Below are 20,968 nucleotides of genomic sequence, written 5' to 3' on the forward strand. Positions count from 1 at the left end.
TGTATTACTCTTCATGACAGTAATTTCCATAACATGGGGGTGTTTACCACTATCACTCTATCACTCTATGTTATGCTGAGGGAGCTGAGGCTCTGGGAGGTGAAATGGCATACCTGAGGTCACATAGCCAGTAAAAGCCAAAGCCAGGACTTGAATCTAAGTCCGCCTGTCTCCATAGGCCATGCTCTTAATAAGGATGCTGCACTGATGGGCTCCTGTGTGGAGCCGCTGGGGGACAAGAGGAGGAGAGTTGGCGGGGGGGAAGGAGCAGGGCAAGTAAGGCCAGCGCCTTTAGGGGCGGGCGACTGTGAGTGGGGCAGGGAGCCTGGGAAAAGTGCATTGCACCGACACTTCCAGAAACACGTACTTGTCTAAAATGCCTTTTCAAAAAAAGTGCTTGTTTTATTCTACCTTTATTTATATGCCTTTTTTCTGATTATAAAAATCAATTTATGTTCATTAGAGAAAAAGAGAAAACTAGAAAACTATAAGAAGCAAATTTCTACCCAGAGATAACCACTCACATTTTAATGTATTTCTATATTTTTCCTATGAATCCTATGCACACATTTTCCACAAAAGTAGAATCAAACCATGTGTTCAGTTTTGAATGTTTTGTTCATTTGATGTTATATCATAGGTATTTTCCCATATTATTAAATATTAATTGAAAACTCAATTTTTAAAAATATTTTTTCCCATAAAAATTTGTAGCTGTATTAGTCTGTTCTTGAACTGCTATAAAGAACCACCTGAGACTGGATAATTTGTAAAAGAAAGAGGTTTAATTAGCTCTTGGTTCCGCAGGCTGTACAGGAAGCACGGCTGGGGAAGCCTTAGGAAACTTACAATCATGGCAGAAGGTGAAGGGGAAGTAGGCACAGCTTACTCGGCCAGAGAGGGAGGAAGAGTGTGAAGTGGGGGAGGTGCTACACTTCTCAACAACCAGATCTCGTGAGAACTCGCTATCATGAGAAGAGCAAAGGGGAAGTCCACTCCTATGATCCAATCACCTCCAACACTAGGGATTACAATTTGACATGAGATTTGGGTGGACACAAATCCAAACCATATCAGTAGCATACAAGTTTATTGAAGGAAAACTAGATAATACAGAAAAATCTAAAGAAAAGTCCTTCATGATCTCACCCCAAGAGATAATTACTATTAATATTTTGTCTCTCCATCACTTGATTTCCTATGCACATAAATAAAATGATACAGACAGATGTAGACAAATGCACACATATGTACTTTTTTAAAGAAACAAACTGAAACCCCACTTCTTCCCTCGAGCTATGGGAAGCACCCTCGCTAAGGCAAAGCATACACACTCAGATGCCCAGAGTCCAAACAAGTAGCTGACCCCTTTTGCTGAGACCTTGAAGAGGGCCACCTCAGGCACATCAAGAGAGATCAAACCACCTCAATACAAGGGCAAGCTTCTTTAGCCCATTGTGGCCAGGGCAGAATTCAGGTCCTACTGCCAGATTTACTGGTTTCCCAAGTGCTATAAATCCAGTTTAAGTGAAAGGTGTCTGAGGGGGTGCATTTGGACCCACCGGGGCCTGGGGCATAATTCGAAAAAGCATGTGCATTCTTATGATTTCATTTCATATTTGGAAAACTAAAGAGGAAATATTTTTCAAGACACTATAGAATGGTAACATTTAACAAAATCTTGGCTCAAAGTGGTCTGTTTAAAAAGTCTAAAACACTTATTTTCCTATTATGGTAAACAAAAATGTTTGTATCACTAAAAAACACCTTCACAATATTTTAATGACTCTTTCCTGATGTTGTTGTTATTTAGCATAGCAGTCTCTTCTAGACCTTAGTCGTTCCTTCATTCATCCAATAAACTATTAATAGTGAAGGCTATTTGCCAAGCCCTGAGAACATGGTGGTGACCAGACTGACACAGACCCTGCCCTCAAGAGACTCATATTCCAGCTAGGGAGGCAGAAAATAAACAGGTAATCTACTAAAGTACGAATACCTGTATTACCCAAATGATAAACACTATTTTTGCTTTTTTACCTATGTCATATGAAGAACATTTTTTCAAATCACTAAAAAGTACTTTAAAATATTTTCATAACTGTAACTTTTAAAGAACTTTCCCTTCGGCCGGGCGTGCTGACTCACGCCTATAATCCCAGCACTTTGGGAGGCCAAGGTGGGCAGATCACTTGAGGTCAGGAGTTCAGGACCAGCCTGGCCAACATGGCAAAGCTCCGTCTCTACTAAAAATACAAAAATTAAGCCGGGAGTGGTGGCAGGCACCTGTAATCCCAGCTACTCGGGAGGCTGAGGCAGGAGAATCACTTGAACCCAGGAGGCAGAGGTTGCAGTGAGCCGAGATCGCGCCATTGCACTCCAGCCTGGGTGACAAGAGCGGAACTCTATCTCAAAAAAAAAAAATTTCTTTTCCCTTCATTTAGTTTTATCAACTGACTCAATCTCCCGTAGACTTTTTTCTGTCAATGCTTAAACACCTATCCAGGGCCAGGCACTGTGCTCTGTGCTGTGAACACAGCAGTGAGGACAGACCCAGGTCCTCCCTTCTTTCAGAGGCAGCATGTGTTGAAGAGCCCAGACTCTAGAGCCAGACAGCCTGGGTTCAACTCATGGGTTCAAGTCGGGGCTTTGCCACTTAGTAGCCATGTGCCCTTGGTCATGTTCCCCAACCCCTCTGTGCCTCAGTTTCCCTGTGAGCTCAATAGCAGGCAGTAACCGTACATGCCTCACAGAGTGGTTGTGTAAATTAAATGAGGTAGCGCGCGAAAGCTTAGAAGTGCCCGTTGCGTAAGGCCACGAGTACAGGTTTGCTCTTTTTATTGGAGCTTATGTTCTAGTTGGGGAGACGGACAATAAACGATTTTTAGATGCCCTTTTAATGATCAAAGTATGGAAACCTCGGAAAGAGGGAGAGAAGGGGAAAGGGTGGAGAGAAAAGGAGGGATGGAAGAAGAGAAAGGAGGAGGCAGGGGAAAAAGGGCCTTATCTGCCGCTCCCAAAGGTAAGAGCATGTCAAGGAAACCGAGGATGGTGCTTAATGCAATTCTGTGCTCCTGTGACTCACTAAATAACACAGATGGACAAAAGGAGAGTTCGAAGCCGGGGTGGGGTGGGGGCTGCTCGAGGCCCGGGTCGGTCGTGGAGGCCTGCAGGAGGCAGCGGGCGAGGAGGGGCTCGCGACCAGCCTGACGCGCGGCCTCTCCCCCTCCATGTCCCTCCCTTTGTCCGCACAGAGAGCGCCTTCGCTGACACGCTGACGCCCGCGCGCCTCAGCCAGGCCCGCTTCAGCGCCTGCCTGCCGCCCAGCAGCCACGACGCGGCCAACTTCGACAACAACGAGCTCGAGAACAACCAGGTGGTGGCCAAGCTGGGCCACCTGGCGCTGGGCCGCGCCCCGGGCCCACCGCCAGCCGACGCCGCGGCCGCCGCCATTCCGTGCGGGCCCCGTGAGCGCCCGCGGCCCGCGTCGTCGCCGGCGCTACTGGAGGCCGACCTGCGCTTCCACGCAACACGCGGGCCCGACGTGAGCCTGTCGGCCGACCGCAAAGTGGCCTGCGCACCGCGGCCCGACGGCGGCCGCACGCTGGTCTTCTCCGAGCGCCCGCTGCGGCCCGGCGAGAGCCTCTTCGTGGAGGTGGGCCGTCCGGGGCTGGCGGCGCCCGGCGCGCTGGCCTTCGGCATCACGTCGTGCGACCCGGGCGTGCTACGGCCCAACGAGCTGCCCGCCGACCCAGACGCGCTGCTCGACCGCAAAGAGTACTGGGTGGTGGCGCGCGCCGGGCCCGTGCCGAGCGGCGGCGACGCGCTCAGCTTCACGCTGCGGCCCGGCGGCGACGTGCTCCTGGGCATCAACGGGCGTCCGCGCGGCCGCCTGCTGTGCGTCGACACCACGCAGGCGCTCTGGGCCTTCTTCGCCGTGCGCGGCGGCGTCGCGGGCCAGCTGCGTCTCCTCGGTGAGTCCCCGGCCCCGCGTGCGCGAGGCCCCGCCCCTCCCCCGTCCCGTGCCGTCTCACCCCGCTGCGCTCTTCCCCGGCCCCGCCCCTCTCGCTAGGCGCTGCACCGCCCGAGGCCAGCCCGCGGTTCCCAACTTTAAGCGCCCGGGCACGATCCACCCCGTCCAAAATTGCCGGACTCCACCCCAGAGTTCCGGATTCAGTGGGTGCACGGTGCGCCCCGAGAACGTGCATTTCCGACAAGTGCCCGGAGATGCTGACGTTGCGGCTCTCTGGACCACATTTTGTAAACCACCGACCTAGATAGGTAACCGGCTTATCTCCGAGCTTGGCAGGCTATATCCCCTCGGTAAATGGTCGGTGCGATTTTTAGTTCCGTTGTTACGATTTGTTACATTAGGGTGTTTTTAACATGTAATGCACAGTAAGTGTAGGGAAAAAATAAATTCGACTGCACATGAAAGAGGAAATAAGAATAGTATCGTCCACAGAAAGTGGAATGGAGGCCTGAACCATCCTATTTTGAGATAATTTTTGCCTTCATTCATGCCACAAATAGGCAGGAGCAGCCACCAGCTGTGGGCCGGGCCCTGGGCACCAGGATAGGGCCAGCAGAGGACAGGACACACTCCATGCCGGTTAGGAGCTCACAGACACCCTAAAGGAGAGTTGCACGGTGTGACATTTGCTACAGCCGGGGGCTCCTCTCCCAGCTTGGTGGAGTGAAGGAGATGTTCAGAGAAGGCTTCCCAGAGAGCCTGGCTCCAACTTCATGGCTCAAAAAGTAGAGTCCAAGCAATAAGAAGCAGTCAACAGCTCATATGTTCCCTCATTGAATTTTATCCTCCCTTTGACTCTATTGAAATCAGTATCATTATCCCCACCTACAGATAAGATAATGAGCACAGAGAGATTAAATGACTATCCCAGGGTCACATCGCTGGTCAGCTTTGAAGATGCTGGACAAATCACAGATTCTCCTGAGCCTGTTTCCTTCTGTAGAAAGAGAGTGATACCTGCTTCATGGGGTTGTCATGAGGATGAAATCATGTGCATATAATGCCTTGAGCGGGGCCTGACACTGGTTTAATCAGTGGTAACAGTAACAACAGCAGCTGTTGCTGTCTTCATGAGGGCAGAGGAGGAGCCGGGTGGCAGTGTGGTTATTTGGTCAGAGTGTTTTTTGGGGAGGGGGAAGTTGTGTTGTTTTGTGTTTTTGAGGAACCATCAGACATAGTCATCATTTCAGCCCGAGACGAAGTGCCCATTATCTGTCCATTCATCCTCAGGTAGGGCAAGGGAAGGGGCATCTTTTCATCCTAAGAAACAAGCTGTTATTGTCTGAACCAACAGCAAGCTTGGGGAAGAAAACTCATCCATGTTGAGCACTAGTAGTCAGGGATCTTCTCGCAAGGGGCAAAACCCCACTCAAAGTGCCCTAAGCAAAAAAGGAAATGTCTGGGAGTATATTGGGTGAGTTCAGGAATAGCTGGATCTAGGTACTGGAAGGATATCAGCAGGATCCTACCTCTCTTTCCAACTCAAAGCTCTGCTTGCCTCTGTGTTGGCATCACTCTCAGGCAGGCCTTTGCCACGGGTTGGCTCTTCCAGCTCCAGGCTTCCTTCCCAATGAATGGAATGAGTTCCTTCTTTCCTAGTAGTTCCAGTAAAAGTTGCAGAATTGGGTCTCGGGCCTTACGGGGGTTATGTGCCCTTTCCTGAACCACCACTATTGAGACCAGAGAGTGGAAGTTCCTGTTGGCCTGGCCCTTATCCTATGAGGGAGGGCACATTAGTATCCCAAAAGAACATCCCAGGGCTGTTTCTGAAAGAGAAGAGAATAGAGGCCTGGTAGACAAAGAACAGAGGCACCACACTGGGATGCACTCTTCACTCCTCAGCAGAACCCTGGGAGATACCTCTGGTCCTCTCGTTAGACGGGAAAGCTAAGGTGCAAAGCAGTGAAGAACCATGGACTAGCAGGGCAGGTCCAACCTTCCACTGCCCCTGATGGAATCTCTTTGGGCCTCAGGTACCCTGCAGTCCAGCCCTGCGACCACGACTCCATCAGGGTCCCTCAGCGGCTCCCAGGACGATAGTGATTCAGATATGACCTTCAGTGTCAACCAGTCCTCCTCGGCATCTGAGTCATCCCTGGGTAAGGAAATGCAAACCCTGGCAGGGGCAGGGGCTGGCGGCTGGCCTGGCTCCTCCGGCTGTGCCAGTGGCCTTCCAGGGACTGAGCAGGGTGGCCGCCTTTCCCCCGCATCCTCTCCTTCCCTCAGCTGTATGCTCAGCTGGAGGGAGGAGAAGTGTCTAGATAGGGCATTCCAAAGGGTGACGATGGTGGCATTTTATCTTGGTGTTTGGGAGTAGAAGAGTAGAGAAAGGTGCAAAACCTGCAAGGTAAACTCAAATTAGTATCTCCCAAAAGTATTCTCCCACCGGTCCCAGCAAGAAGCCCTGCATTCTCGGGGTTGCCCCAACAGAGCCCACCTGAGAGAGACATTGTTAACATATGTCCTCTTCTCCCTTTCGGCAGTGACGGCCCCCAGCTCCCCGCTGAGCCCCCCGGTGTCCCCCGTGTTCTCCCCACCGGAGCCGGCAGGCATCAAGAATGGCGAGTGCACGGTGTGCTTCGATGGCGAGGTGGACACGGTCATCTACACGTGTGGACACATGTGCCTGTGCCACAGCTGCGGCCTGCGGCTCAAGCGACAGGCCCGGGCCTGCTGCCCCATCTGCCGGCGGCCCATCAAGGACGTCATTAAGATCTACAGGCCATAGCCTAGCCTGCCCACGGGCCTTGGCCGGTGCAAGGTCACCTTTCTGAAGGCCCCCTGGGCTGGGCAACCACATGGCTGCCAGGGAGTCCACGGGCAGCGGCCATCTCTCCAGTGGTGGGCAAGGTGTGACAGTCGTGGAGCGAGGCCCACAGGGCCTCAGCCCAGGCAGGGGTTGCTTCTGGCTCCAAAGTGCTTTGCCCCCAAAAGGCCGTCCCAAGAGCAAGCTCAGGAACTGCCTGGCAGATCACCCTGTCCCTTGGTGACCTTTCAACTGGGAAACAGCGTCCTCTGTCTGTGCAATGCTTCTTGCTGGGGTTGGGTTGAGTGTGAGAGAAGGGGAGGGGAGGGAGGGAGAACAGAGAGAATGTGTGTGTGAGAGAGAGAGAGAGAGAATGAACGTGTAGCGATTTTACCAGGGGTCCCGGCTCCGGGAGGAGACGTGCAATCCGGAGCCCCGACATTGGCATGACTAGAAGTTGTTCACTTTCTGGGGATGGGACATAAGCTGGTTTTGAATGTATGAAGCTGACCCTCACAGAACTCCCTGGGGTGGTGTAGAAAAGAGATGCTCAGATTTTCTAAGGGGAGGCAAAAATAACTCATTGTTTACAGCTCCAAAGCATGAACTCCTTGAGGGGAAGGTGGGTGAAGAACAATTCACTTCTTCATTTCTTACTGGGTCTTAGAGCTGGGTGTGATGGGCACCGAGGCCAACCCCTCTGGATTGTGTCATCTTTTCACCCCTTCACCCCCAGACTGTCTAATAATACACACATCATACCTTGTCTCCGTCTCTGGAGGCAAGTCTCTGTAATGCCCTTCCCTATCTCCAAGGAGAAGACCAGCAGTAAGTTCTGTTTTTCTGTGGGAGAGAAAGAATCCTAGAGGCAGGTGACCCACCTGGAGCTGGAAAGCCCACTCCACGATGCAGACAGCTCTCTACCTTCCTGTGGTGGCCCCTGGGCCTGGCATTCCCAGGGGACCTGCTGGCAGGAGGAGGAACGAGGGCTTTATAACTTTGGTTATAACTTTTGGTCTTTGTTCTGATTCTCAGTGTATCTTCCTCCGCTGGTTACTAAAGTGTTCACTGATAAGTATGTTAACTAATGATCGAGACAGTAACGAAAAATGCTGGCACTGGGATTCTCTCCCTTCCCAGACCTACCTGCTGGTATTTCCTGGGACCTTGACCCTGCCCCACCCCCTCAGCCGTGCCCATCTCTGCAGACTCCCAGATCACATCTGGGCTGATGGGCTGGCCCAGGCCTGTCCCTCCCTTCTTGCCCCCAGTTCTGGGCTCCACCTCTGCCCTCTTCTGTGCTGTCCCATTAGGGAAGTCCCTTGGCCTGTCTATTTTTCAGTTCCCAATTAGAAGTCTAGAACCTGACAACTCCAGGAGTTCTTGGGAGGACCAGTACAACGTTCTAAAAAGCCTGAGACGCCTTACAAAAAGCAAGTATCATTTGGAGTACAATTCCTAATCTGTTCATGTCCTGCTGAAGGAGGGAAGGAGGGAGAGGAAGGCAGGGGAGTTGATGCATTCATATAACAAACACTGCTGGGTGTCTGGGTGCCCAGAGCAAAGCTGGGCCAGGCCTTCACCAGATCAAGCCCCACAGACCAGCTGGTGCCCATGCGCTGCTGGTGGTTTGGGGCCTCCTGTTCCTCCTCTAGCTGGGAGTAATCACAGTTGTCTGACCTGATTCCAACTTAAGGTCCCCACTCTCTTGCCCCATCAAGAATCCCTGATTATTTACTTTTCCCTAGAAAATCTGGGGAAATTCCCACATTTTAATTTTGCAGCAGAATCTTTTGAGCAGCTTTTGGAACCACAGTGTTTGCCAAGATAAGAGTTTGAGAATCCAGCAGCCCTGGGTGCCTGGCTGAATTTGGTTTCCTGCATGTGCTGGGTGTGGGCGGGGCCACGCACAGGCCCTGCATGGGAGGACTCCTCACCCCAGGCCTGTGGTGCTGCAGACAACCGTCTCCTGTCTACACTGCGACCCAGCCACAAGCTGTGGGGTCTCAGTGGCCTGGGGGAAAGCAGCTCCACTCTCCTGCCCTTCCTGGCTGCCCCTTTGGGTTCCAGCCGGGGTCACGTCCAGCCTCCACTGGGAAACCAGTGACTGAGGCCTGGACCCAGAGGTGGACCAGGCATCTCCTGGCCACCTGTGACCTGGGAAGAAGCGAGTCAGTGGCCCGTTCAACCTGCTCTGCAGCTGCTATAAATAGCCTCCCTGTTTCCAAGAGGAGGTAAGGAAGTGTTTATCTTCTAAAAACCAGACGTTTCCTGATGCTCTGAGCGTTACTCAGTGCTACAGAGGAGATGCACACGTCCCCACTATGTTCTGTCTTGAGAAGGGGACAAGAGAAAGAGGAAAAGGAGCCACTGTACTTTATTTTGCACCTACAGCGTGCCTTGGCACTGGGCTAGAGAGGCACCTTCCTGCGTGAATCCTGTGCGGCAGGTCTTATTGCCATAATAAGTCACATCAAAGACACTGCTGGTCATAAAACACTGTTTTACATACCATAGGGAAAAACGCTGCCAATCTTAACTAAGATGCTACAACTGTACAGTTCCTTCCAATCAGAGATGTTCACGTGTGAAAAAAAAACTGTGCTACTTACAATCTATGAAAGCTGGTGTTATCCCACTTGGCAGGTAAGGAAACTGAGGTCCTGTGAGTGAAGTGACCTCATGATCACACAACAGGAGATGGCAGGGCTGGGATTCAAACCCGGGAGTGTCTGCTGCCACATCCCACACTCCCACTGCCTGGCTCCAAGTCCCAGGAAGCTCGAGACTGTGAGTTTTCTCCCTTGAAACTCACCTGGAGAGAGTCCGGGCACCTGTGCCTATGTGGAGGGTTCCAGCCCCAGCCAGGCCCCTCCGCTGCCCACACCCTGGGAGGAGAAGCGGCCTCCCTTCCAGGCTCATCTGCTCACTGCCCGCATTCTCCTGGCAGAGCTGAGGTCTGAGAGATCTGGACTCCAACCCAAGGGCCCTCTCTTGTTATTCAGGGGTGTCCACAGTTAGGAAGGGACCTGGGGCCTTGTCCCACCACCTTCCTAGGCCCCGTGATCACCACCCCCTCAAGCGGGGCCCCAGCCCCCTGAGCACCCCCTCACGTGACCCAGCCCTCGGCTGTTCCAGGCTCACTGCCCATGGTGTGCTCTTCTGGGCCACAGCAGCCAGGGCTCCAGGGCGAGGACAGGGGACACCTGAAAACACCCCGTTGTTCATGGTCTTGTGCCCATTCATTCGGAGACTCCTGAAAAACTGGGCTGTTTGCAAAGCAAATCCAGCTCCTTGTCCTAGCAGGTTCTCAGAACGGGGAGTCCCCTGGGATGGAGCTGCTCCCCTCACGGCAGCACCACGTTTCCAGTCCCTCGATGCCACTAATCAGCATGGACTGTGTTCAGGACACAGGGTGAACTTTTCTCTGACCCCCGGTGCTGGTCCTGTGCCAGCACGTAGTAGTTACTCAGTAGAGGTTTGCTGAGTAAACCAGAAATCAGATTATGAGTGTTCAGGGGTTTGATAAAACAGCACCACATAACGCACACAAAGATACTCCAGAAACATTTGCTGAGTACCTAGTACGTGTGAGGTGCTGTGAGGATAGAGCAGAGAGGACTGTGCCCCAGCTGTGATGCTGGCAGAGGTGACACTAAGAGGGAAATGAGATATTTGGGGCAGAATCCACTGGGCTCTCTTGGCCATCCGCTGCCTTGGGTCTGTTGAGGTGGGTGCCCAAAGGCTGCCTTCTTGACCAGAACCTGCTGTGCGCTTCACAGAACCTCCTCTTCATTGGAAATGCTGGGCACATTGCAGTCAGTGAGCTGCTGCCAAAACGGCGTTAAGTAGAACCCCCAGAGGCCCCGCCGGTTGGTGATCACCCTCAGGTCCTGCCAGGGAGACACAGTGAGGAGGTTGGCTAATTGCTGCTTTCAGGCCCTGGAAATCAGTCGCCAAGGCCCAGGAGAACCCCGGTGAGTCCGTCCAGTTGAGGCAGAGGCAATAACCTCCCATTGCTCGGCCCTGCGCCTGCCCCAGTCCTGGCAGGGGGCACCGGCTCAGGAACATGCGGCCTCCTGGCATTTCTCGGTATTTAACTGTCTCGCTGTCTTATCCGAGTCCCTAATGAAACGACTTGTGTGACAATCTGTCTGTGCCTTACGAAAGTGTCTGTGCACTTTTTATCCTTTTTAAAAGCAACTTTTAAAAGTGGATGGGGAGGGGGGCTAGCATACGTGGTAGGGTTCTAGAAATCTGTGGTCATCGCTGAAATCCTTTTTGCATCATGTTTTTTGATGTTGGAGTGATGAAGTGTACATCCCCCACCCCACACACCACTACCTGTGTACAGACCTTTTAAAACATGTCTTCTTTTTCTGATTCAATACTGTGACCTCTCCGATACAGTCTAATCCTTGGGGATCTGTAATCAAGGTTTTAAAACCTGGGAAGTGGGTTGGGAAGGGTTTGCACTGGTCTTGAGTGTTGTGCTTTTCTGTGTTGTGTGTTTTGATTTTTGTCTTTTTATCTGTTTTATATTGACATAATTTTCCTGTTTAAAAAAATACAACTTTGGCTTGTTAAAAAAAAAAAAGTCTTCAGAACTCAATTTTTAAAATCCCACTTACATACACTGATGGGGAGTGAAGGTGAGGATCCAAATCATTGCCAGTCTTGAGGAAATAAGTTGCAAAATGGCTATAGAACCCCGACAATGTTTGATGCCTTTGCCAAATAACTCACTTCTGTGAAAATCACAAGGAAATCATTCTAATCAAGGATGAGATCTATGTGTAAAGATATTCACTGCAGCATTTTCTAGAGTGGTAAAAAGCTGTGAGCAACCCTCATGTCCAACAACCAGGGTGTATTCACCAAGACTTGGTTACAAGTGACAGAAACCCAACTCGGATAGGTTTTAGGGGGATAAAGAACTAGGGAACTGAAAAGTCCAGTAGCAGAACTCACTCTACGTGCAGGTAGAACCAGGGTCTGAAATGCTGCATCAGGACTAGCCTCTCCCCTCTCGCTCAGCCCTGTGATCTGGCCCCATTCCCAGGCAGGTTCTCAAGATGCCTCCTGCAGGGCCACCAGCATCCTGCCTTTGAGCATTCCCTGCACGGAGCAGCTCAGATCACGTGTCCGCTCCTGAACCAGTCACAGGACAGGGAGATACGGGGCTCTGATTGGTCAGACCCAGGATGGGTGCTCACCTGCACCCAATAGCTGCCCTGTCTGAACTCTGGGCTGAAAGTGGGGAATCGCAATCTCCAGAGAAAATGAGTCCTAAAGAATGCATGCCCAAGGTGGGCAGATCATGAGGTCAAGAGTTCAAGACCATCCTGGCCAACATCATGAAACCGCGTCTACTCAAGATATAAAAAATTAGCTGGGCGTGGTGGCGTGCACCTGTAATCCCAGCTACTCAGGAGGCTAAGGCAGGAGAGTCACTTGAACCTGAGAGGTGGAGGTTGCAGTGAGCCGAGATCGCACCATTGTACTCTAGCCTGGGTGACAGGGCGAGACTCTGTCTAAAAAAAAAAAAAAAAAAAAAAAAGAAGAAGAAGAATGCAGCGTGGGCAAAAACAACAGGCCTCTGTGTAGGGAACGGGAAACCATGATACCGATACATATGGGGCTAATGGCATGAGCATGAAGCCAGACTGCCAAGGCCTCACCAAGACATTGGGGAAGATGCTTAACGTCCTTGTGCTTCAGCTTCCTCATCTTCAAAGCAAGAACAATAATAGTTCCTGATTTTAGGATGGGTGTAAATGTTATTGAGATCATACCAGTGATGTGCCAGGCACAGCATCTGGCACCCAGCACCAAGCAACAATTGTTAGTTTGTAACACAGGAACGGGTTTATGTTAAAGTGTGGTTAAAAAAAAAATCAAGATATAAAATTGCACATACACCGTGATCTCACAGATGAAAAAAAAAACAAAAACACCAACAGCCCAAAAACCTACCCATGCATTGGAAAGACCAGAAAGAAAGGAGTGAAATGTCCATGAGGGCTGTGTCTGAGTGATGGCCTTATTGGTGCCTTTTTCTCATACTTGCTCATTATAGAAAATTTCCCAAATTTCCCAAATTTTCTATAATGAGCAAGTATGACTTTTCATTTAAACTTGTTACTTGGAAAAAATGATCTCCCTACTCTGCAAAAGCCAAAGAGAACAGCTGGCCCTTGCTGGAATTTGTCAGGAATTCCCAGGCTGATTGTCTGTGAGTTTAAGATCCAAATTTAGTCCGGTGGAGATAAGGACCTGTACGTTTCTAGCAGAGGCCAGGCCAGGCTGACCAGTTTGGTTGGGCTTCCTCCAGGCTAGGTTTTGGGGCCCAAATTTCTGGGGTGGAACATGGCAGTGGTAGCAGGAGTGGGAGCTGGGAGTAGGGGAATGGGGTGAACAAGGAGAGGGAGCTGCCCAGGCCTGCTCCTTCTGGATGGTTAGAAGAGCCTGGCTTGGTGACACTGAGTTTTAGGAAGCAATGGGATAAGAGAAACCAGCATTTATCAAGCAGCACAAACCATGGTTCTCACACATTCTCACAATGGATCTTCACAATAGTGTTCTCATTTTACAGGCAAGGAGGCCAAAGTCAAAGTAGGATTGGCCCCCAGGTGGGCCTGCTCCAGAGTCAAGGCAAAATCTTTCAGAGACACATTTCGCACCCCTTTACCAAAGTCTTAGTGAGGGGCCGAGTCTGTCCAAAACCCAGGATCCTTTCTCCCCTTCCAGATTTCCTTCCCACAACGCTATGTCCTTCTACTGGACCAGGCAACATTTTCACAGACGCTATCTGATAATCAAAACTTTTTTGAATAAAGAAAAAAAGGTAGGGCCAGGCGTGGTGGCTCAAGCCTGTAATCCCAGCACTTTGGAGGCCAAAGCGGGTGGATCACCTGAGGTCAGGAGTTCGAGACCAGCCTGGACCACATGGTGAAACCTCGTCTCTACTAAAAATACAAAAAATTAGCCAGGTGTGGTGGTGTGCACCTGTAATCCCAGCTACTCAGGAGGCTGAGGCAGGAGAATGGCTTGAACCCAGGAGGCGGAGGTTGCAGTAAGCTGAGATCGTGCCACTGTACTCCAGCCTGGGCAACAAGAGCAAAACTCTATCTCAAAAAAGAAAAGAAAAAAAGGTCATATTAATCTAGGCCCACTGCATTGTAAGAGACTGAAACCCAATTTAAGAAAAAAAAAAAAAAGAGCGGGCAGAATGTACTGACTCACGCCCAGAACAGATCAGTCTAGCTTCAGGAACAGCTAGATCCGGGTATTCACATGATGTTGTCAGGCCTCTGCCTCTGTCTCTCAGTTCTGCCTTCCTCTGAGCTGATGGCACTCTCAGGCAGACTCTCCCTTTGCAGCAACCAGAACAACCTCCAGTGACTCATATCATGCCAGTTTAGTGACCCTTTAAAAAAGTTTCGGGAAAAGTCCCAGTGCTGTCTCTCCTTTGACTCCTTGGATCAAAAGCTCAATCCCTGAACCTGTCACATGCCCACACCTGATACAAAACTAGGTATGGTATGGCCCTTACCCTCAAGAACCAACCAATCTGGAGGGGAAGGCAGACCCCTAAACAGACATGTTTAGACCAGTGCACTTCTGAAGCTGTGGGAACGATCCAATTCAGGCCACGAGGGCTCGGGATCATTTAGCGATGCAGTTAGGCATCCTTCTTTCTCCTGGCCCTGTGTGTTCTTACCAACACCTGAGCCATGTTCCCTGGCACATCCAATTCCTCCTCCCATGCTGCAGTGCACACAGCCCGTGCGCTGGCCCTCACCAGCCCCTGCCACCTGCGGTGCACCTAGCCTGGTGCGGTGGGGGTTCACTATTGTGCATGCAAATCCCTTTTTCTCATTCCCTGAGTTCCTGCAGGACAAGAAATCCTCCAGAAAGATAATAATACCAGATCATTTAATAAGCACTTAGTGTGTGCAAAGGACATCCATGACATCAGTAAATCCTCACAACAGTTCTCTGAAGTGGCTCCATCATTACCTTCATTTTACAGGCAAGAAGCCAAGACTGAGAAGGAATCAGTAACTTTCTCCTACTTTATATGGCCTCTCAAAGACAAAAAGTTTCTTCGCTTTCTGTTTGTAATTATGTCCTTGGACCTAGACCCCCTGGTTCCCAAGTGCAAATGGGCCTAGAACATTTGCAGCTGTGATTTCACAGACTCCCACCAGCCACCCATTGTATTACGGTCCCATTTTACAGGGAGGGGAAGGGGCTGCCCCACATCACACTGCTTAGGAGCTGTGGGGCCAGGATTTGAACCAGGCCTGGCTCTTTCCACCACATCACAGCATGTCTGTGGGTACATTGTCAGGAGGAGGGGGAGGGAAAGGAGGAAGGAGAGTAAGAAGAAAAGGACAAGAAAAAAACAGCCAGATTCAGCACCTCGAAGGGCTTTTTCTAGAAGAACATCAGCTGTGTCCTGACTCACACAATGCCTATCCGTTCAATTCCAGGGACAGGGAATATTTGCTTTTCCCTTCAGGCTCTGATCTCCCAGCTCTTGGAAGCTCCCACACAGGGATGTGGAAAACACGATTATTCCAGGCATCGAGCTATGGGAACAGAACCCCGACCTTGGCTGTTAAATACACCTATGGAGAAGCTTCCAGAAGCCCAGCAGTGGGGTGTGTTGGGGAGGAGATGCATCAAAACGAAATGCCTCAGGCAGCCTGATCCCCTTTCGTCAGCCTCCTCCCCTCTCAGCTTGGGCCTTCCCAGGTCTAAACCCTTCTCCCCAGACAGACAGCCTGACTCTCCTGACTCTCCGACTGGCCAGCGAAGACCTTGGCCATCCTTTCAGGAGCATGTGGGCCTGCTTAGGAGGGCTGGGCCGGCCTAACTGAGTTCACATCCATGCTCTGCCCCAGCCAGCAGAGGACCTGCCCTCCCCACTGGGCTTCCTAAGGGTGCCTCTCACATACCAAACTTTACGTGAATGTGCCCCCTGTAGCTGCACGATGGGGATGCCCCCTTCTGAGCCTCCCCCTCGTGGCCCCTACGTGGGCCCTGTAAGACCACACCCTCCCTCAGCCCTTAGGAGGCTGCATCCTGGCATCTTAGCTCTGAGCTGGGGTTTCCAGTGTGATGGGGTCTAGTGTGGTGGGTGAGTTCCCTCCAGCTGAGGGGACAGGCCTGCCTGTGCTGTGGGATCTTGGGCAAGTTACATACCCTCTCTGAACCTCAGTTTCTGCAGCTTCGAAGGAAGAGGGGTGTCAAATTGTGTCAGAAAGTGGCTGGCATATAGCAGGTGCTAAATGTTTTTTAGGAGTATTCTAGACCCTGCTACACCAGCTACCCCTCGCCCATGCCCTCCCCTGTCCCATCTGGGCCAGGGGCTGCCTCCATCCTCCTACAACCTCCTGGGCCTCCCGTGCCACCTCAGTGAGCCTGCCCTGCGACACTGTCAGCAGCATCTGCAGGTGACGCGGCGCATCCCCGGCTCCCAACACAGGGTCTACCAAACAGGAGAGTCTTAGTGTGTACACCCCTCACCCACACCCAGCGTGGAATTTCTGGCATTAGCACACCTCCCTTCCACAAAGAATGAACCGGAGTGGTGATCTGCTGGTGGGGTCGTGCCAGGCCTCGGGGCTGGCCCAGGCCCCCGCCCCTTGCTTGTCTTGGTTCCCAGTCAAGAGCGCTGGCCCCAGGCCTGGGAGGCTGACCGACCTCAGACTCCAAGGGGAAAGCCACACTTTTGCTCAACTCCCAGGAGCAGCCCCGCATTCCAGGAGGGGCGTGGGAAGCACCAAGCCTTCCCCAACTGAGCTGAGCGGGGAGCTGCCTGCAGCCACGCTGGCCCCCCCAGCCTCAACGCTGGCCCAAGCCCACTTTGGGTTCCCCAGGGACAACCACCCCACCTCAGAGGGATGGAGATGGGGCTCTGAGAGATTGCCACGGCCACCCCAGGAAAGAAACACCAGGATGTTCCCAGGAACCCTCTCTGGCTTCCCCATCTGCCCGCAGTTTCCCACGCTGACTCCGTCTCCTTTTTCTGGTGCCACCCCACCCCTGATCAGCACAAAAAGAGTTCCCTACATGACTCTGAGCAATGGCAGACTCCCTTCTGCCTCTGTCCCTCTGACAGGTGGTCCCAGGGCTGTCTAGAACCTACTCCAGGGCCATCCCTCCCGGCTGACCTTGCTATCTTTCCACCCTGGAGTTATTTCATCTGGAGGTGTTATGAATACAGACCCGGCTTGGGGGAGCCTCCCGCAAGGTACTACCCGAGCTGGACCTTAGATGCTGGACAGCCCTTGGCAGGCAGAAGCTCCTCCTGAGCACTCCCTGCAGAAAGGAGCTGCCCAAACGCAGAAGCTGATGGGCCCCGTGCTGGAGGAGCCCTCCAGGGTGGGGGCAAAGGTCCCAAGAGACATTTGCCTTCTGCAACAAACCAGCCTTTCTCCAAGAGGTTCACACGACCCTGCTGGCTGGCGCTCCTGAGCAGGCTTCCTCCCACAGGGCAAGCTCCCCTTGGCCTCCCAGGAAAGGATGGACGGACAGGCAAAGGGCAATGAAACGGCCTGGGCTGGGAGTGATCCTGGGTAAGGGCCCCGTCCCCTCGGGCTTCCCTTTCCGCGCCCTCACCATAAGGGAGTGAAACTGAAAGTCCTGAAGTTCAGGGAGGTGGCTCGCCAGGCTCCTCGGCAGAAGGCGCGGGGATTGGACGGTTTCTTTCTAGAAGATGGAGCACTGTCGCTCTCTAGTGGCCACGGTGAGAAGTGGCAAAGACCTGAGCAGAAAGACATTGGTCAAGGTCCAGGTGCTGGACAGATTTACACCCCCTACCATCCCCCCGAGCGCATCCTGCAGAAGCCGCAACGACCGGGAAGCCAGACTCCTGCAAATGGCCTTGTGGATCTGGGTAACCTTGAGGAGGCACGTCAGGGTGACATTGAGTCTGGGTCTGGGGTCAAGTCTGCGTTTGGGGGTGGACTGGAGCTGAGGGTGTGGTGGGCTGGGGCTGGGGCTGGGAAAGGATCTCCCCGCCCCTGCAATGCTGGGAGGATGGCACATGGACACGACGTTTCTTTACTCCGGTCCTACTGACCTGACCCGCTCCGTTTAACCCGCACGTCTGACCCTGTGCCGGGCACATTAGAATAAAACAAGTAGGGGAGGAAAATGCAATATTTTTAAACCCTCAAAGATAGACAGAAATGACAATGCAGCTAAAACTGCACCTTTGGCCATCAAAAAAAAAAAAGTGCCTCCCCAGTGCTTGAGATATTTATGCCCCAGCTGGTTCAAAAGAAGTTTGCTCTGGGGCAGGGCACGGTGGCTCACGTCTGCACTTCTGGAGGCCGAGGTAGGTGGATAACTTGAGGTCAGGAGTTCGAGACCAGCCTGGCCAAAATGATGAAACCCCGTCTCTACCAAAAATACAAAAATTAGCCGGGCGTGGTGACGGGCGCCTGTAATCCCAGCTACTCAGGAGGCTGAGGCAGGAGAATCGCTTGAATCCAGGAGGCAGAGGTTTCAGGGAGCCGAGATTGCACCATTGCACTCCAGCCTGGGCAACACAGCCAGATTCTGTCTCAAAAAAAAAAAAAGAGAGAAGTTTGCTCTGGGTTTGTGACAAGCTCTGTAGATTGGAAACCTCTGTAGGTTCCGCCTTTCAAGCAGGAGTAGCAGAAACCCAGCACAACTGGCCTGTATCAGTCTCAGTGCAAAGTATTTACTGGCTGTGGGGTGCTGAAAGCTGTTGGACTAAATGGGTTGCGAATGATGATAGCACCATCCTCCTCTCTCACTGCCTCTGCACACGGTAGCCCTGGCGTGCCCAGAGTCATATTCTCCCAGCTTGAGGTCCAGCCTTACAGCAAGATCTGGGACTGTATCTCCCTGGACCAACTTCAGTACGAGAAGAATATTAACGATACGTTGTTAAGTAAAAAAATTTAAAAGCTACAAAATCATATATACCATATGATAACATTAAAATATACATGAACAATTAGTCATGGGAATAAAAGGCTGAAGGAATGTACCAAAATGTTAACAAAAGTCATCTGGATGGAAGTACAATGAGGGTGAAATAAAAGTGGTTTAATTTTCTTCTTTTGCTTCTCTACATGTAAGAAAAATTTTAAATTCTATAAGAAACATTTATTGTTATAATAAGAAAAAAGTTATTATTGTTTAATGCAACAAAGGCCTGGATAAGGACATAAAAAAAGAACTGACAAGAGGAGACAGTCCTCTAAAGACAATGGTCAGGCCAGCCGTGGGGCTCACGCCTGTAATCCCAGCACTTTGGGATGCCAAGGTGGGCAGATCACCTGAGGTCAGGAGTTCGAGACCAGCCTGCTCAACATGGCGAAAGCCCGTCTCTATTAAAAATACAAAAATTAGCCAGGTGTGGTGGCGGGCACATGTAATCCCAGCTACTGAGGAAGCTGAGGCAGGAGAATCACCTGAACCAGGGAGGTGGAGGTTGCAGTGAACTGAGATCATGCCATTGCACTACAGCCTGGGCAACAAGAGCAAAACCCCATCTCACAAAATAAAAAATAAAAGACAGTGGACAAAGTAGAGCCCAGTGAATTAGCAAATCAATCTAACACGACAAATCTCTGCTCTCACCATCCTCATTGCCAGGGGCCAGGGCCAGAAATGGAAGCAGATGTTACAACAGAATGGCCAGTGTTCTGGCGAGGGTAAAACCAGGACATCGTGGGAGCCCTGACTAACCTGAGAGGGTCAGGGGAGGTGTCCAGGAAGAGGAAACTTGGAGGAGCATTTTGAAGGGGGCGCGTGATAGCCTCCAGGTGGAGAAGAGGAAGGAAGATTGCCAGGCAGATGGAAGAGCACAGCGAAGGCCCAGGGGCAGCTTATTCCAGCTTGGGTGGCCCATCAGGCCAATAACCACAGTAACAACAAAAGGTATAGAAGAAGCTGGTTTGGAGAGGATGCTGAACTCCACCTTGAGGATTGCTTTTGAATATTTCTTTTTAAATAATTCTTTTGGCTTTCCTTTCCTCCCTCACATAAAATAGAAAACACGCTCTCAGCTGCTAAGCCTCTCCCCAGGGGTGTGGTTTGCCTAATAAATTGCAAAATTGACCTACTAATGCTAAGAAGTTAAGTCAAATTAAATCACAAGAGAATTTCCAAGGACCGCTTACCATTCCCTACTTGTCTGCCAGGGAAGAAGGCGCCATGCCCTGGGTGTGGATAAGATAGGAGCTCTGTAAGCTCTGTGACCCCAGCACAGCCATTGGCACTTGCTACCCTCGGATCTCCAGGAACCGGTGGAGAATAACCCCAAACCGCCAAGAGTTTGCCTCTCTCGGCATGCTCTGGCTCCAGTGAAGTTATGAGACTCCCACCCCTTAAAGAGCTTAAAGACCTTAAAGAGCCCACCCCTGCTGTAGAGAGAAGCGACAGCTGCCAGGCTCCGCCCACCCCTCCTTCATGGGTAAATGAGAAGGGCCCACCCCTCCTTCCTGGATAAATGAGGGTGTAAAGGGCCCAGCCCTTCTCTACGGAATGCCGGGGCTGCTTTGGGATGTGTGGCTCGGTGTTCACAGTCACCTTGGGAGTCAGAACCAGGTTCAGCCTCCGTGGCAGGACACCCAAGCTCTGTCACGTCTGTTCCTACGGCTCCTCCTGCCTCCCGCCTTACTCCTCCACAGCTCCCACAGCCGCCCTGCCCCTTTGTAGTGCCCCAGCCAGCTCGAGCCGCCTCTACAGAAGGATTGCTCATGGTTCTAAGTGTTAACTGAGTCTCCTTGACCCCTCGCATTTCCCGCCCCCCGCTCCCCGCCCCACCACCCCACCCCGCTTACCTAGAATCTTTCCCTCCCTCCCTACTCAATGGAAAGAGGCCTCAGGGCAGAAAGCAAACAGGAAGGACTCCGGATTTACTGCATAACTGATGCTCTCGGAGCAGCCTGGGCTGCCAGGGGAGCAGGCAGAATAGTGTTCTGCTCCTACTCCCCATCAACGCCTTGGCACTATACCTCTGGAACTTGGCCATGACCTTGAGTGAAAGGGAAGGCACCCCAGTGAAATGCAGTCTCAAAATAGAAATGAAGTTGTTGGGAAGACAAGCTCATTAAATGCATGCCTGAGTTTATGGGTTGAGACTCACACCTGTTGCACACAGGTGTCTGCCTCAGTCTGGAAGGTTCCCACCCACA

General features: G+C 51.7%; 1 protein-coding gene and 1 long non-coding RNA gene across 4 annotated transcripts in view, besides 5 other annotated features; one reads left to right on the plus strand and one right to left on the minus strand.

Moving 5' to 3' along the window:
• Positions 1–11,376, plus strand: part of NEURL1B (neuralized E3 ubiquitin protein ligase 1B) — a 50,278-nt gene extending 38,902 nt beyond the window's left edge. For 2 of the 3 annotated variants that reach the window (NM_001142651.3, NM_001308177.2), the window contains 3 exons: positions 3,255–3,974; positions 6,007–6,132; positions 6,517–11,376. In NM_001142651.3, the coding sequence (NP_001136123.1) occupies positions 3,255–3,974; positions 6,007–6,132; positions 6,517–6,761 (1,091 nt within the window). In that variant the 3' untranslated portion in view covers positions 6,762–11,376. The remainder of the gene's footprint in view (positions 1–3,254; positions 3,975–6,006; positions 6,133–6,516) is intronic. The other variant, NM_001308178.2, reaches the window with a different exon arrangement.
• Positions 3,013–3,513: an enhancer, noted in NCBI's record as "H3K27ac hESC enhancer chr5:172110180-172110680 (GRCh37/hg19 assembly coordinates)". NCBI's record gives its function as "activates a minimal SCP1, AML or CMV promoter by ChIP-STARR-seq in naive H9 embryonic stem cells {active_cell/tissue: H9 hESC(naive)}" and the evidence as "EXISTENCE:reporter gene assay evidence [ECO:0000049][PMID:30033119]".
• Positions 3,514–4,014: an enhancer, noted in NCBI's record as "H3K27ac hESC enhancer chr5:172110681-172111181 (GRCh37/hg19 assembly coordinates)". NCBI's record gives its function as "activates a minimal SCP1, AML or CMV promoter by ChIP-STARR-seq in naive H9 embryonic stem cells {active_cell/tissue: H9 hESC(naive)}" and the evidence as "EXISTENCE:reporter gene assay evidence [ECO:0000049][PMID:30033119]".
• On the minus strand, positions 6,141–20,260 carry LOC107986479 (uncharacterized). Its single transcript, XR_001742997.1, has 3 exons — positions 19,952–20,260; positions 17,412–17,556; positions 6,141–6,373 (listed from the first exon to the last, which is right to left on the minus strand). It is a non-coding gene; the product is annotated as an uncharacterized LOC107986479 (long non-coding RNA).
• Positions 10,379–10,438: a silencer, noted in NCBI's record as "silent region_16624". NCBI's record gives its function as "represses an Ori minimal core promoter by ATAC-STARR-seq in GM12878 lymphoblastoid cells {active_cell/tissue: GM12878}" and the evidence as "EXISTENCE:reporter gene assay evidence [ECO:0000049][PMID:35858748]".
• Positions 17,483–17,642: an enhancer, noted in NCBI's record as "active region_23640". NCBI's record gives its function as "activates an Ori minimal core promoter by ATAC-STARR-seq in GM12878 lymphoblastoid cells {active_cell/tissue: GM12878}" and the evidence as "EXISTENCE:reporter gene assay evidence [ECO:0000049][PMID:35858748]".
• Positions 17,713–17,772: an enhancer, noted in NCBI's record as "active region_23641". NCBI's record gives its function as "activates an Ori minimal core promoter by ATAC-STARR-seq in GM12878 lymphoblastoid cells {active_cell/tissue: GM12878}" and the evidence as "EXISTENCE:reporter gene assay evidence [ECO:0000049][PMID:35858748]".
• Positions 20,261–20,968: the final 708 nt, after the last annotated feature.

Source organism: Homo sapiens, chromosome 5 (assembly GCF_000001405.40).
Source record: "Homo sapiens chromosome 5, GRCh38.p14 Primary Assembly".
In the NCBI taxonomy this organism is placed as follows: Eukaryota; Metazoa; Chordata; class Mammalia; order Primates; family Hominidae; genus Homo; species Homo sapiens.